The following is a 14,735-nucleotide window of genomic DNA, read 5'->3' as shown; positions in this document are numbered from 1 at the left end:
GATGACCTGTCTAGTGCTGTCAGTGGAGTATTGAAGTCCCCCACTATTATTGTGTTGCTGTCTATCTCATTTCTTAGATCTATTAGTAATTATTTTATAAATTTGGGAACTCCAGTGTTAGGTGCATATATGTTTAGGATTGTGATATTTTCCTGTTGGACAAGTCCTTTTATCATTATATAATGTCCCTCTTTGTCCTTTTAAACTGCTGTTGCTTTTTTTTTTTCCTATTAATTCCTGCCACATTATTTTTAATTATGTACAAAGATTTAACACGTCACCCAGGGACCATTTCACCCACTGCTCTGTTTGGCCCCCAGTCTTTTGTCTCTCTCTTCAGCAATAGTGAGGCAGATACCCTTTCCTCGGGGAAGAGAAATCCATGGTTTGTTGCCCTTGCCAATAACAAAAATGTTGGAAAGTCGAGTAGCAAAGCTGTTGCCATTGACATCTTTCATGTGAACCACGTCAAAAGATCCAGGGTGCCTCTCTCTGTTGGTGATCACACCAGTTATTCCCAGGTTAGCACCTCCAGTCACCATACACAGGTTACCAGTGTACCAGTGTTGAACTTGATGAAAACAGTAATCTTGCCAGTCTCCAAATCAGTCTGAATGGTATCATTTACCTTGATGAGGGGATCAAGGTAGCGGATGCTGTGAGCATCATGAGTCACCAGATGAGGGATTCCTTTTGTGCCCACAAAGATTTTTCTCACTTTACCCAATTTGTACTTAGCCTCCTCGGGTGTAATACGATGTACAGCAAAGCGACCCTTGGTGTCATAGATCAGATGGAAATTATCTCCCGTCTTGTCAATGCTGATGACATCCATGAATCCAGCAGGGTAGGTTATATCAGTTCGTACCTTGCCATCAACCTTAATGAACCCCTGCATGCAAATCTTTACTTCATCTCCTGTCAGGGCATACTTAAGTCTGTTCCTTAGGAAAATGATGAGGGGGAGACACTCTCTCAACTTGTGAGGACTGGTGGATGGACAAGGAGCAAACACACTGGTCAATTTATCCAGCATCCAATGCTTTGGAGTTGCTACCTACTTCAGATGCTTCTTGGGACCACCAGCCATGGCTGCATTAGGCAAGGAAAGACGACCTCTCTTCCGGTGTGTGTAAGAATTCTAAACTGCTGTTGCTTTAAAGTTGGTTTTGTCTGATATAAAAATAGCTACTCCTTCTCACTTTTGGTGTCCATTTGCATGAAATGTCTTTTTCCACCCCTTTACCTTAAGTTTATATGAGTCCTTATGTGTTAGGTGAGTCTCTTGAAGGCAGCAGGTGATTGGTTTGTGAATTCTTACCCATTCTGCCATTTTGTATCTTTTTTTTTTTAAAAAAAAAGATATCTTTTTTTAAAGACAGAGTCTCGCTCTGTTGCCCGGGCTGGAGTGCAATGGCATGATCTCAGCTCTCTGCCTCCTGGGTTCAAGCAATTCTCCTGCTTCAGCCTCCTGAGTAGCTGGGATTACAGGCGCTTGCCACCACGCCTGGCTAATTTTTGTATTTTTAGTAGAGACGGGGTTTCATTATGTTGGTCAGGCTGGTCTCACAAACTCCTGACCTCGTGATCTGCCCGACTCGGCCTCCCAAAGTGCTGGGATTACAGGTGTGAGCCACCACACCTGGCCCATTCTGTATCTTTTAAGTGGAGCATTTAGGCCATTTACATTCACTGTTAGTATTGCGATGTGAGATACCATTCCATTCATTGTGTTATTTGTTGCTTGTATGCCTTGGTTTTTTGTTTTTGTTTTTTAAGTTGTATTTTGTTTTATAGGTCCTGTGAGATTTATGCTTTAAAGAGGTTCTGTTTTGATGGGTTTCCTGGATTTGTTTCAAGATTTACAGCTCCTTTTAGCTGTTCTTGTAATGGTGGCTTGGTAGTGGTGAATTCTCTCAGCATTTGTTTGTATGGAAAAGACTATCTTTCCTTCATATATGAAGCTCAGTTTCACTGAATACAGAATTCTTGGCTGCTAATTGTTTTGTTTGAGGAGGCTGAAAATAGGCCCCAATCCTTTCTAGCTTGCAGGATTTCTTCTGAGAAATCTGCTGTTAATCTGATAGGTTTTCCTTTATAGGTTACCTGGTGCTTTTGTCTCACAGCTCTTAAGATTCTTTCCTTCATCTTAAATTTAGATAACCTGATGGCAGGGTGCCTAGGTGATGATCTTTTTGCGATGAATTTCCCAGGTGTTCTTTGTGCTTCTTGTGTTTGAATATCTAGGTCTCTAGAAAGGCCAGGGAAATTTTCCTCGATTATTCCCCCAAATATGTTTTCCAAACTTTTAGATTTATTTTCTTCCTCAGGAATGCTGATTATTCTTAGGTGAATGGTTTCGTTTAACATTAACTGTAGACTTCTTGGAGGCTTTGTTCACATTTCTTATTTTTTCTTTGTCTTTGTTGGATTGGGTTAATTTGAAGACATTGCCTTCGAGCTCTGAATTAATTTCTTCTACTTATTCGATTTTATTGTTGAGACTTTCCAGAGCATTTTGCATTTCTGTGTTTCCATTGTTTCCCTGCAGTTTTGATTATTTTTTATTTATGCTATCTATGTCATTGAATATTTCTCCCTTCACTTCTTGTATCATTTTTTTGGTTTCCTTACATTGGGCTTTGCCTTTCTCAGGTGCCTCCCTGATTGGCTCAATAACTAAACTTCTTAATTCTTTTTCAGGTAAATCAGGGATTCCTTCTTGGTTTGTGCCCATTGCTGGTGAGCTAGTGTGATTTTCTGGGGGTGTTAATGAACCTTGTTATGTCATAGTACCAGAGTTGGTTTTCTGATTCCTTCTCATTTGGGTAGGCTCTGTCAGAGGGAAGGTCTAGGGCTGAAGGCTGTTGTTCAGATTCTTTTGTCCTGCAGGGTGTTCTCTTGATGTAGTACTCTCCCCCTTTTCCTATGGATGTGGCTTCCTGAGAGCCGAGCTGAAGTGATTGTTATCTTTCTTCTGGATCTAGCCACCCAGCAAGTCTGCCAGGCTCCAGGCCGGTACTGGGGGTTGTCTGCACAGAGTCCTGTGATGTGAACTGTCTGTGGGTCTCTCAGCCAGGGATACCAGCACAGTATTTGGGGTGTCTCCTGGGTCCTGCAGGAGTAATCTGCTTCCTTCAGAGAGTCTGTGGGTCCCCTTGGGTTTCCTGATTTAGTTCTGCAGTTGTTCTGGAGCAAAAATTAATAATCCAAGCCTCCACATGCTGCTCTGTCCATCTGATCGGAGCTGCAGTCTAGTGCTACCTCCCATCTGCCACAATCTCACAACTCCACCCTTTGTTTCTTTTTAAAGTTTTTGACTTAATGTCTATTTCATCTAAGTATAGCTACTCCTGCTTTTTTCTTTTTTTTTTTTTTGGGTTTCCACGTACATGGAATTTCTCTTTCCATCCCTTCACTTTCAGTCTGTGTGTCATTATAGGTGAAATAAGTTTCTTATAGGTAACATATAGTTATGTTGTAAAAGTTATTAAGAAATTATTTTAGGCAGATAGAGAGGAAAAGAGGTCCTTGGGAAGTTTTCATTTTTTATTAAGGAGATTATCCTTTCCTAGTGATGTCTTCTTGGTTGAAAATTAGTTGACTGTTATATACTTGGGTTTACATCTGGGCTCTCTGTTTTGTTCCATTGGTCTTTGTGTATGTTTTTATGTCACTATCACATTGTTTTGAATTACTCTGGCTTTATAATGGATCTTGGGATCGGGTAGTGTGATGCCTCCAGCTTTGTTGTTTTGCTTAGATTTGCCTTGGCTATTTGTGGTCTTTTGTGACTCCATATGAAATTTTTGATTTTTTTCTATTTGAAAAATGTCATTGGAATTTTGACAGATTGCATTGAATGTGTAGTCATCCATTTTTGAATGGTATTTTTGCTTGATGTAAAATTTGAGGTTAAGTTTTTATTTCAGTATTTGAAAAATGCTGTTACATTGTCTTCTTGCTCCCATTGTTTCTAACTGGAAAGTCAGCCATTACCTCTGTTATTTCTCTACATTTAATACATTGCATATCACTTTTTTTTTTTTTTTGATACGGAGTTTCACTCTTGTTGCCCAGGCTGGAGTGCAATGGCGCGATCTTGGCTCACTGCAACCTCCGCCTCCCAGGTACAAGTGATTCACCACGCCCTGCTCATTTTTTTGTATTTAGTAGAGACAGGAATTCACCATGTTAGGCTGGTCGCAAACTCCAGACCTCAGGTGATCCACCTGCCTCAGCCTCCCAAAGTGCTGGGATTACAGGCGTGTGCCACTGTGCCCGGCCAATGTCACTTTCTTCTGAGTATTTTGAGTATTTTCTATCTTTGATTTTCAGCAGTTTGACTATGATGTGTGTAGGTTTAAGTTCCTTTTGATGTATTCTTGTGGAAGTTCCCTAAGCTTCTTGGATTTGTAGGTTGATGTTTTTCATGAAATACAGGAAAATTTCAGGCACCATTTCTTAAAAAACTTTTTTTTCTGCCCTATTGTCTTTCCATTCTCCTTAAAACCGCATTTTCAGGCCGGACACAGTGGCTCATACCTGTAATCCCAGCGCTTTGGGAGGCTGAGGTGAGTGGATCACTTGAGGTCAGGAGTTCGAGACCAGCCTGGCCAACATGGTGAAACCCCATCTCTACTAAAAATACAAAAATTAGCCAGGTGTGATGGTACGTGCCTGTAGTCCCAGCTACTCCGGAGGCTGAACAAGGAGAATCACTTGAACTCGGGAGGTGGAGGTTGCAGTGAGCCGAGATCGCACCACTGCACTCCAGCCTGGGTGACAGAGAGAGAGAGAGAGACTCTGTCTCAAAACAAACAGAACCATACATTTTCCTTTAATTCTGTAAACACTTTTGTTTCTTTGTACATATTTAAAATAGCTGCTTTAAAGTCTTTGGGGCATCTCAAGGTTAGTTTTTGTTGACTTTTTTCTCTGGACTCTGGGTCATAGTTTCCTTTCTTTGCATGTCTAGTGGTTATTTATTTATTTATTTACTTATGAGACAGGATCTAGCTCTGTTTTCCAGGCTTGTCTTGAACTCTTAGCCTCGAGTGATCCTCATGAGTAGCTGGGATTACAGGCATGAGCCATCACACCCAGCTTGTAATTTTTTACTGTATTCTTTATATAGTGGGTGAATTGTAACAGATTGTGAATTCTGTTGGCTTGTTCTGAAAAGTTGATAGTTTTTATTCATGTAGGCAGTTCAAAGATAATCATCTTGAATATGTGGTAAGTGCGTGCCAGGTTTATTCTGAGTCTAATTTAGTAGAACATAACCTCCATAATTTCCCCCTGTGCATCGTATGGGTTTAGTTTTATGCTTTGTGGGCCTTACTCTAGGGCACAATTCTTCATTCTCAGGGGGCCTTTCTGGTGTCTAAGCTGGATGTCTGGAGTATCAGGTGTTGGTGCTCCACTCTAGCTGGGCTGGGACTCCAGCATCCTTCAGCACTTCTTAGCTTCTAGTATCTCTGTTCTCTTTCAACTTAGTAGCTACTGCTTTCTGGCAAATTGCATATAGTGTTGCACTGTACATAAGCCCTTGGCAAAGACCTCACAGGGAACTCTCTCACATGGGCTTTTGCAAGATAATGTCAAGCCTGACAAGAAAAAAATGTGTCTCTTTTAATACCCAATTTCAGTGTATCTGCATCTACCATGCTTTGAGTTATTATGAAAAAGTGTTGGAAAAAAACCCCCAAATTATGAGCTAGCCTCTGTACAGCTTTTTCCCTCTTGATCTTGTAGATTCCAGCCATTGTGACTGCCCAGAACTCTGATCTCTCCCCGCTCAGCTCAGTGGGAGCACTGTGGTCTGCCTGGACGCCACTCACTGTGCTAGAGTCAGGGTAATGTCCTTAAGCAGACAGCCAGGCATTCATGTGACTTACATCAGGAACTTTCCCTCTATTGGGGGTGACTGTCTTGTGCTGCATTTTGTCTAATGTCTAAAAGAAATTGCCTTACATATATTTTGTCCAATTTTACGGTTAAGGCAGGTAAGCTAGTCAGGTAGTAGTTACTCTGTTATATCAGCAGAAAGCTGACAATCCTAGGAGGTACCTAGCCTCTAGCTTGAATATCCGCTCATCTTCAAGACACGAAGATCTGCCAGCTTTGCTCAAAGTATCTGAATAGAGAGGAAACATCCAATGAGTGCTTTTTAGATGCAATGTTTATAAAGTATAAATATATATTTAGTAAATATTTGATAAACTAATGATAAGCCATTATAGCTTATACCATTTTCCATTTCTCAACAATTCAAATAATCACCATGTACTATGCTTTATGTCTTGCTTTGCTTTTCTGTAGGAAAACTTTGGACCTTATTGAGAAGAGGAAAACACTTAATTGGGCAGAAGTCCTAGTGGCACCCACCAGAGCTCTACTGCATTCAGACACTGTTCACACACTGACCATTCATGTGTGTTCAGCATCTGAACTTGGCCTTGTGACGTAGAGACCCTGATGAAAGCTAATGTTTCTGTTTTCATGAAAATATTCAATCTAGGGAACACCTTAGAGGAAAAAAGACTTTTAGGTAAGATTGGTTTGGAAATTGGGAATGACCCAGCTTGTGCCTATATATGTGGGCCTGCAATCAACTTCTGTGGTAGGAGTGAGTTGCCTACCTGAAGGGAAACTTTTTACATAGGATTTAAAAAGATGATACTAATTTAAAAACAAACAACATTTTAAATAGGTTCAAAGCTAGTGAAAGTAAAAATAAACTAATTAATATTACCCCAGTATTAAGAATTTAGCACACCTACAACCATCTGATCTTCAACAAACCTGACAAAAACAAGCAATGGGGAAAGGACTCCCTATTTAATCAATGGTGCTGGGAGAACTGGCTAGCCGTATGCAGAAAATTGAAACTGAACCCTTTCCTTACACCTTCATACAAAAATTAGTTCCAGATGGATTAAAGACTTAAATGTAAAACCCAAAACTATAAAATCCCTAGAAGAAAATCTAGGCAATACTATCTGGGACATAGGCACAGGCAAAGATTTTATAATGCAAATACCAAAATCACTTGCAACACAAGCAAAAATTGACGACTGGGATCTAATTGAACTAAAGAGCTTCTGCACAGCAAAAGAAACTATCACCAGAGCAAGTAGACAACTTACAGAATGGGAGAACATTTTTGCAATCTGTCCATCTGACAAAAGTCTAATATCCAGAGTCTACAAATAACTTAAACAAATTTACAAGAAAAAACCCCATTAAAAAGTGGGCAAAGGACATGAACAGACACTTCTCAAAAGAAGACATGCATATGGCCAACAAACCTATGAAAAGAAGCTCAACATCACTGATCATTAGAGAAATCCTAATCAAAACCACAATGAAATACCATCTCACACCAGTCAGAATGGCAATTATTAAAATGTCAAAAAAAAAAAAAATAACAGATGCTTCCGAGGTTGTGGAGGAAAAGGAACACCTTTACACTGTTGCTGGGAGTGTAAATTAGTTTAACCATTGTGGAAGACAGTGTGGCAATTCCCCAAAGATCTAAAAGCAGAAATACCATTTGACCCAGCAATACCATTGCTGGGTATATATCCAAAGGAATATAAATCATTCTATTATAAAGATACATGGATGCGTATGTTCACTGCAGCACTATTCACAATAGCAAATATGTGGAATCCATCCAAATGTCCATCATAGACTGGACAAATAAAATACTGTACACATATATATACACACCATGAAATACTATGCAGCCATAAAAAAGAACAAGATCTTGTCATTTGCATGGATATGCATGGAGCTGGAGGCCGTTATCCTTAGCAAACTAAGGCAGGAACGGAAAACCAAACAGTGCATATTCTCACTTATAAGTGGGAGCTGAATGGTGAGAACACATGGACACATAGGGGGAACAACACGCCACTGGGGCCTGTTGAGGAGGGGAGGGAGAGAATCAGGAAGAATAGCTAATGGATGCTGGGCTTAACATCTAGGTGATGGGATGATCTGTACAGCAAACCACCACACCACACATTTACCTATGTAACAAACCTGCACATCCTGCATATGTACCCCTTAAAAGCTGAAGATAAAAAATTGTTTTTTAGTGGTTTCTACCTGTAATCTCACTTTGGGAGGCTGACGCAGGAGGATCGCTTGAGCCCAGGAGTTTGAGACCAGCTTGGGCAACAAACAAAGGGAGATCCCATCTCTACAAAAAATTAAAAATTGCTGGGCACGGCGGTTTACACCTGTAATCCCAGCACTTTGGGAGGCCAAGGTGGGAGGATCGCTTGAGTCCAGGAGATCAAGATCAGTTTAGGCAATATAGTGAGACCCTGTCTCTACAAAAAAAATTTAAAAATTAGCCAGGTGTGTTGGTGTGTGCCTGTAGTCCCAGCTACTTGGGAGGCTGAGGTGGGAGGATCACTTGAGCCTGAGAGGTCAAGGTTGCAGTGAGCCATGATCATGCCACTTCACCCCAGCCTGGGTAACAGAGCGAGACCCTGTCTCAAAAAAAAAAAAAAAAAAAAAAAAAGACACACACACACACACAAGTTTCTTGATATAGTGTATTCATAAATATTTTTTATTCTGTCTGTCTCTTAAGACCCAAGTGAAAGGATAATAAATTTTAAAAATATATAAATCAATGCAAACAAAGAGAATTGGAAAAGAGACAATTCTAGATGAAAGATTTCAACAAATTTTCAGAAGACAGAAGACAAAAGCAGCAGCAACAGACGTAACAGGGTGGAGAAAGCCATGATATAATTTATGCAAAAGAGGATAGTGATGAAAAGTGAACTTGAGACTCAGAGCTGATAAGCACAAAAAGGGGCATACCAGCTTTTTGAACAGGGGCATGCAGCTGTTCTACATATGCACTAATAAACCATGAGACAACCATGGTTTATTATTCCATATGTAGACTGGCTGCAACTCTTCATCTCTGCAAACTTCTGCAAAGAATTCCTAGCACCTATACCCCAAGCAAGGGTCCAACTTCTCATCTGATTCGCCTTAGAGCAGAGGTCTGCAAAGTGGCTCAATCCCTCTTCTTACAAATAAGGTTTTATTGAAATGCATCCTGTCTATTCATTTACATATTATCTATGGTAGAATTGCAAAGTTGCAACATAGACCTTACGGCCTGCAAAGCCTAAAATATTTTCTGGCCCTTTACAGAAAAAAGTTTGCTGGCTACTGCCCAGAGTAGAGCCTACCAGAGGAGCTTCACCTACACACTCAGCTTCTTCAGTAAATGTTTTAGTATCATCTTTCCCTAAAACTAAATAGACCACTAGGCATCCTAGATGCATGGAGAAAATCATTATGAAAGGGAAAATCCAAATTAAATAGGCAAAATAATAGAGAAAATAACTCAAGAAGAAATAAAAGAAATGGTTTTTAAAACTAATTGGTATGCTCAATGACAAAGGGAACTCTATTCTCACATTTCTATAAGGTTATTATTTCTTTGGAAAAAAGAGAATTTATGTTTCTGATTGGTGAGTGGCAAGAGTTCAACATCGCCAGGTGTGGTGGCTCATGCCTGTAATTCCAGCACTTTGGGAGATTGAGGTGAGTGGATCACTTGAGGTCAGGAGTTTGAGACCAGCCTGGCCAACATGGTGAAACCCTGTCTCTACCAAAAATACAAAAATTAGCCAGGCGTAGTGGCATGTGCCTGTAATCCCAGCTATTCGGGAGGCTAAGGCATGAGAATCACTTGAATCTGGGAGGCGAAGGTTGCGGTGAGCAGAGATTGCACCTGGGTAACAGAGTGAGACCTTGTCTCAAAAAAACAAAAACAAAAGAAAAAAAAAGTTTGACATCAGTTGCTCCCCCCAGCCCAAATTTTCTCTTTTCTTTTCTTTTTTTTTTTTTTGAGACAGGGTCTTGCTCTGTCACCTAGGCTAGAGTGCAGTGGTGTGATCATTGCCCACTGCAGCCTCTACCTCTTGTTCAAGTGATCCTCCTGCCTTGGCCTCCTGAGTAGCTGGGACCACAGGTAAACACCACCATGCCTGGCTAATTTTTGTTTTTTGTTTTTTTTGTAGTGATTGATAGGGGTTTCACTATGTTGCCTCAGCTGGTCTCTAACTCCTTGGCTCAAGCAATCCTCCCATCTCAGCCTCCCAAAGTGCTGGGATTGCAGGTGTGAGCCACCGTGCCCAGCCTGTTTCCATTTCTTAAGTGAGTGCAATACCTGTATTAAAAACCAATTGCATGTGACACTATTCTTTCCCAACACTTGAGGCTTGACAAGTGAGGGGTAAGCAATTTTTCTTTTGGTAGGCTGCCTAAATAGATAAGTAAGTATCTGCCTTGCCAAATACTCGACCCAGCAGATGCATTGCAAGGTCTAGATTCCGGGAAGAAGGCAGCAAGCTTGATTGTGATTGCAGGTCCAGGTTACAATGTGTTCTGTATTCTGGCTCTACTGACAATAAAGCTGTTAATGTTACCTCCATCTATCTGGCTGCAGTTTATAATTTGAATCAGATCTCTAAGGAATATGGCATGTGATTTCTCGGCCTACTTAATCCTGAACACATGCTATGTTGGCTGTGACTTGAGCTCAGGCCCCCAGATGGCAAGTGAGAATTCTACTTTCTTTCTTTCTTTCTTTCTTTTTTGAGATGGAGTCTTGCTCTGTCACCAGGCTGGAGTGCAGTGGTGCAATCTCAGCTCACTGAAACCTCTGCATCCCAGGTTCAAGCAATTCCCCTGCCTCAGCCTCCTGAGTAGCTGGGACTACAGGCGTGCACCACCGCACCCGGCCAATTTTTTGTATTTTAGTAGAGACGGGGTTTCACCATGTTGGCCAGGATGGTCTCGATCTCCTAACCTCATGATCCACCCACCTTGGCCTCCCAAAGTGCTGGGATTACGGGTGTGAGCCACCACACCCAGCTGAAAATTCTACTTTCTAATCTAACAAATAGATGATATGAGAAGGTGGTATATTTATTCATAAAATAAAAGTTGCTATATGAAGGGAGCAATCAGAGAACAAGAAAAAACCTTCAAAATTTAAAATATATAGTTGTAATGAATTATTTAATATTAGAGTTAAAAGATAAGATAATGTAGGAAAACTCCTCTCAAAGAAGACAGAGCCAAAAAGGAAAGGGGGCAGGGAAGAGCAAAAAACATAGCTGAGAAAATTAGTCTAAAAGGAACAGTATCTACAGATTTAAGAGGACAAATAAACTAAAGGGGAGAAAGTTAGTTAGTAAAGAAAATTCTCCAGAGCTAAGGACACAGATTAAATAAGCCTACAACACACCCTGCAAAATGAATTTTATTAATTTTATTAAAACAATAGAGATGGGATCTTGCTTTGTTGTCCAGGCTGGTTTTGAACTCTTGGCTTCAAGCAATCCTCCCACCTCAGCCTCACAAAGGGCTAGGATAACAGGTGTGAGCCATGGTGCCCAGCTGCAAAATGAGTTTTTTAAAAAAGATTCACATTAAGGGACATCGCTATGAAATTTTAGAATACCAGAAATACAAAAAATATCCTAAAGTCTTCTAGAGAGGGGAAACACAGATCGTATACAAAAGAACAAAAATCATAATTGTATCAGTCCACTTAACAGCAACAGCACAGGCTAGGAGACTATGAGAAGCTTTCAAAGGGAAACTTTTCAACTTAGAATTCTAGACCCGGCTATCAATCATGAGACTAAAGACGTTTTCAGACATCCAATAATTCGAAAACTTTGTCCCCATGCACCTATTCTTAGGAAGTTATGGCAGGATATGCTCAAGCAAACCGAGAATTTTAAGCTAAAAGGACAAAAGTATGGATGCCAGAGATGGACTCTGGATCCAGCCAGAAATGGGGAAGGAAAAGTCTGGAACAACTTTGCAGCAGCCCTGGAAAACGAATCCACATTGATACAAAACTAATGGGGAGGAGGGGCTGGGATAGAGGAAGAGGGTGGGGGAAGACTCCAAAGAGCGAATGATATAAAAGAACATTCCAAAGGAATTAAAGTACACAAGAAAACATCATATACAGGAACATGTATTTATAGTACACTAAGTGTTGGCTCTGATTAAACAATATTTACATAGTTGTTTTATATTATATAAATTCTCATTAAATATATCCATATTGGGAGGAGAGGGGAAGGACATGAGAGCCAAGTCCTTACCTATCATAAAAAAGTCAACAGATCATAATATAATTCAATATGTAAGGTCTAGGGTTAACAAATTGTAACAGTATATTCTTTAGAAATATAAATGACCCAAAGAAAGAGCTAAGAATTTAAAGTGGTTGCCTCTACAAAGGACTAGATGGAGAGAGATGGGATAAGGTATTCTTTCTTTAATTAGCAAAATCAAACTATTAAGTAACAAACTTTATTGAGTTAAAACCTTCATTAATTGTCTTGAAATTACTTTGAATTTTATAAATGGCAAAATGTTAAAGATTCAGTTGACTTTTTACAGTTATGCAGGAATCCACCTAGACTACTTTTCTCCTTTCTGGATAATGTAATATATTTAGATTCTTCACTTAAAATGATGGTTGTTCCCTCATGGGCCATTCTCCAGAAGAACGAGGAGTAAGTCATGTTTTCTCCTATGTGGATGCAACCCAGGAAGGCTGGCTTCACTCATCTGATTTTACTAAGGAAGTTCATACTTGTTATCTCCTTATTACAATTTAAATTATAATAACCAAAGATACGTGACTGACTTAACTTTCCAAACAAATGAGGCCACTACCCTCCCTCCACTACTACCACCCCCCAGCCCAAGTTATTGTCATCTCTCACATGGAACACTATGACCCTGCTCCAATCATTCTATAGGTCGTAGTCAGTGATCTTTTAGAAACACAAATTGAATTCTACAAATACAAATCCCTATTCCAGCCCCAGGTATCTTAATCTCTTTAATGGCGCTCTGTTGTTCATAGGACATCCTTAACACGGCCTACAGAAGCATGAATCAGCCCCTATTTCATTGCCTTCATCATTCTCTCATTTGTTCTCCGCCATTCGTAGGAACTGTGAAGCTTCTGAGGGCCACATGCTACTTTATCCAGGGCCTTTGTAAGTGCTTGGTCATCTGTTTGGGACACTCTCCTTGCTTCCCCCTCCCTTCAACTATTTCCCCTTCATACCTTAAAGCTCAACCACCATGTCCCTAAGGAATAAAATGTGGGAGCAATTTTTTTTTTTTTTTTGAGACAGGCTGGAGTGCAGTGGCACATCACAGCTCGCTGCAGACTCAACCTCTCTGGCTCCAGTGATCTTCCTACCTCAGCTTCTTGAGTAGATGGGACCACAGGTGCATATCACCATGCCCAGCTAATTTTTGTATTTTTTTTTGTAGAGAAAGAGATTTGCTATGTTGCTCAGGCTGGTCTTGAACTCCTGAGCTCAAGTGATCTGCCTGCCGTAGCCTCCCAAAGTGTTGGGATTATAGGCATGAGCCACTGCACCCAGCCTGCAATTTAAAACAAAAATCATTTCCTATTTCTCAATAGTTCAGACATTATTTGGTATCTGTTATGTCTGTTGCATGTCCTGCTTTATCTGAGAATGTTTCACTTGGAGAAGGAAGCCTTTCTGATCTCCCTCAACCATCCAGACTATGTCAGTGCTACATACTCTCCTGGCTTCTATTACTTTTCCTTTCAAGCACACATCTCAGTTGTTATTAAATTGTGTACTTTGTGGTCATTTCCTGTCTCCACTACTGGAATGCAAACTTACTGCCAATGGGTGCAGCACAGCTCATAGTAGGCACTCAGCAAATACTTGTCAAATGATGGAATCTGCAAAAACTAAAGATAATAAACCAGTGTCAGTACCAAAGAAAGAATAAGCCATTGTTTTAGCTCAGGAAAGGAGTATAGAATGTACCATGTGATTCCTTGATCTCCACAATGCAACTCTTCACTTTACTAATTAATTCCCAAGGCCACACTCTATACCTTGCACCCAGAACTGCTCTCAGGAATCTCTTACATCCCTTTCTCTGATCATATCATCCAATTATTCCACATCTGCTGCTCACACTCATACTTGCTCTCCCACTTCATGGAGACTTCTGAGCTTGGATTCTTCCATTTTCTCTGAATCTAGCTCTTCAACTAGAGCTATCCCCGCATCCTGGCTTGATGCCATACTCAATTCTTTGTTGGGAGCTGAGTACTACTGGAGAAAAACAATACAATCATGCAGTTTGGCATCACCACAATTTCTCTACATTGTAGCCAATTACTGATCTTTCTGAACTACAGCCCTTAGTATTATCTTACCCCATTTAAAGCTCTTCCAAATTCCTAAATGTGACATTTTAAATGCTTTATTATTTGCTTCCCTCCCCAGCTTCCCTTCTCAGAATTTCAGTACTCTATGTAGTTATAGCTTAGCCGTTGGTAGCCTCCAAGATCCTCCCCTTGCTCTGTGCTGCTCCTACTCTACAGCTTAAATGCTGTTGACTCCAATAGGGTCCCCACCCTGGCTACCCAAGTGTCATGCTTGTGTATATTCCCACCTCTGAACATCACCATCACCTGAATGTCCCACAGGCACTATCAACATATTTAAAATTGAACCTGGTGACTTAAGCCAAAGAAATCTGATAGCTATCCTTGTCCTGATGTTTTTATTTCCTAAATACATTTGCAGATCACTCCAATCTTCATCCCTACTGCCATCATCCTCCTAGTTCAGTCTCTATTTCTGAGACTATTGCAT

General features: G+C 40.4%; 1 protein-coding gene and 1 pseudogene across 7 annotated transcripts in view; one reads left to right on the top strand and one right to left on the bottom strand.

Annotated features, from left to right (window-relative positions):
• The window catches only part of CPLANE1 (ciliogenesis and planar polarity effector complex subunit 1), a 173,708-nt gene extending 163,231 nt beyond the window's left edge, over window positions 1-10,477 (top strand). For all 7 annotated transcript variants that reach the window (XM_047417575.1, XM_047417572.1, XM_047417573.1 and 4 more), the window contains one exon: window positions 6,325-10,477. In XM_047417575.1, the coding sequence (XP_047273531.1) occupies window positions 6,325-6,345 (21 nt within the window). In that variant the 3' untranslated portion in view covers window positions 6,346-10,477. The remainder of the gene's footprint in view (window positions 1-6,324) is intronic.
• Window positions 228-1,141, bottom strand: RPS4XP6 (ribosomal protein S4X pseudogene 6; annotated as a pseudogene).

Source organism: Homo sapiens, chromosome 5, assembly GCF_000001405.40.
Source record: "Homo sapiens chromosome 5, GRCh38.p14 Primary Assembly".
NCBI classification, from domain to species: Eukaryota; Metazoa; Chordata; class Mammalia; order Primates; family Hominidae; genus Homo; species Homo sapiens.
Note: the sequence above shows the minus strand (reverse complement) of the source record. Positions and strands in the feature narration are given on the sequence as shown.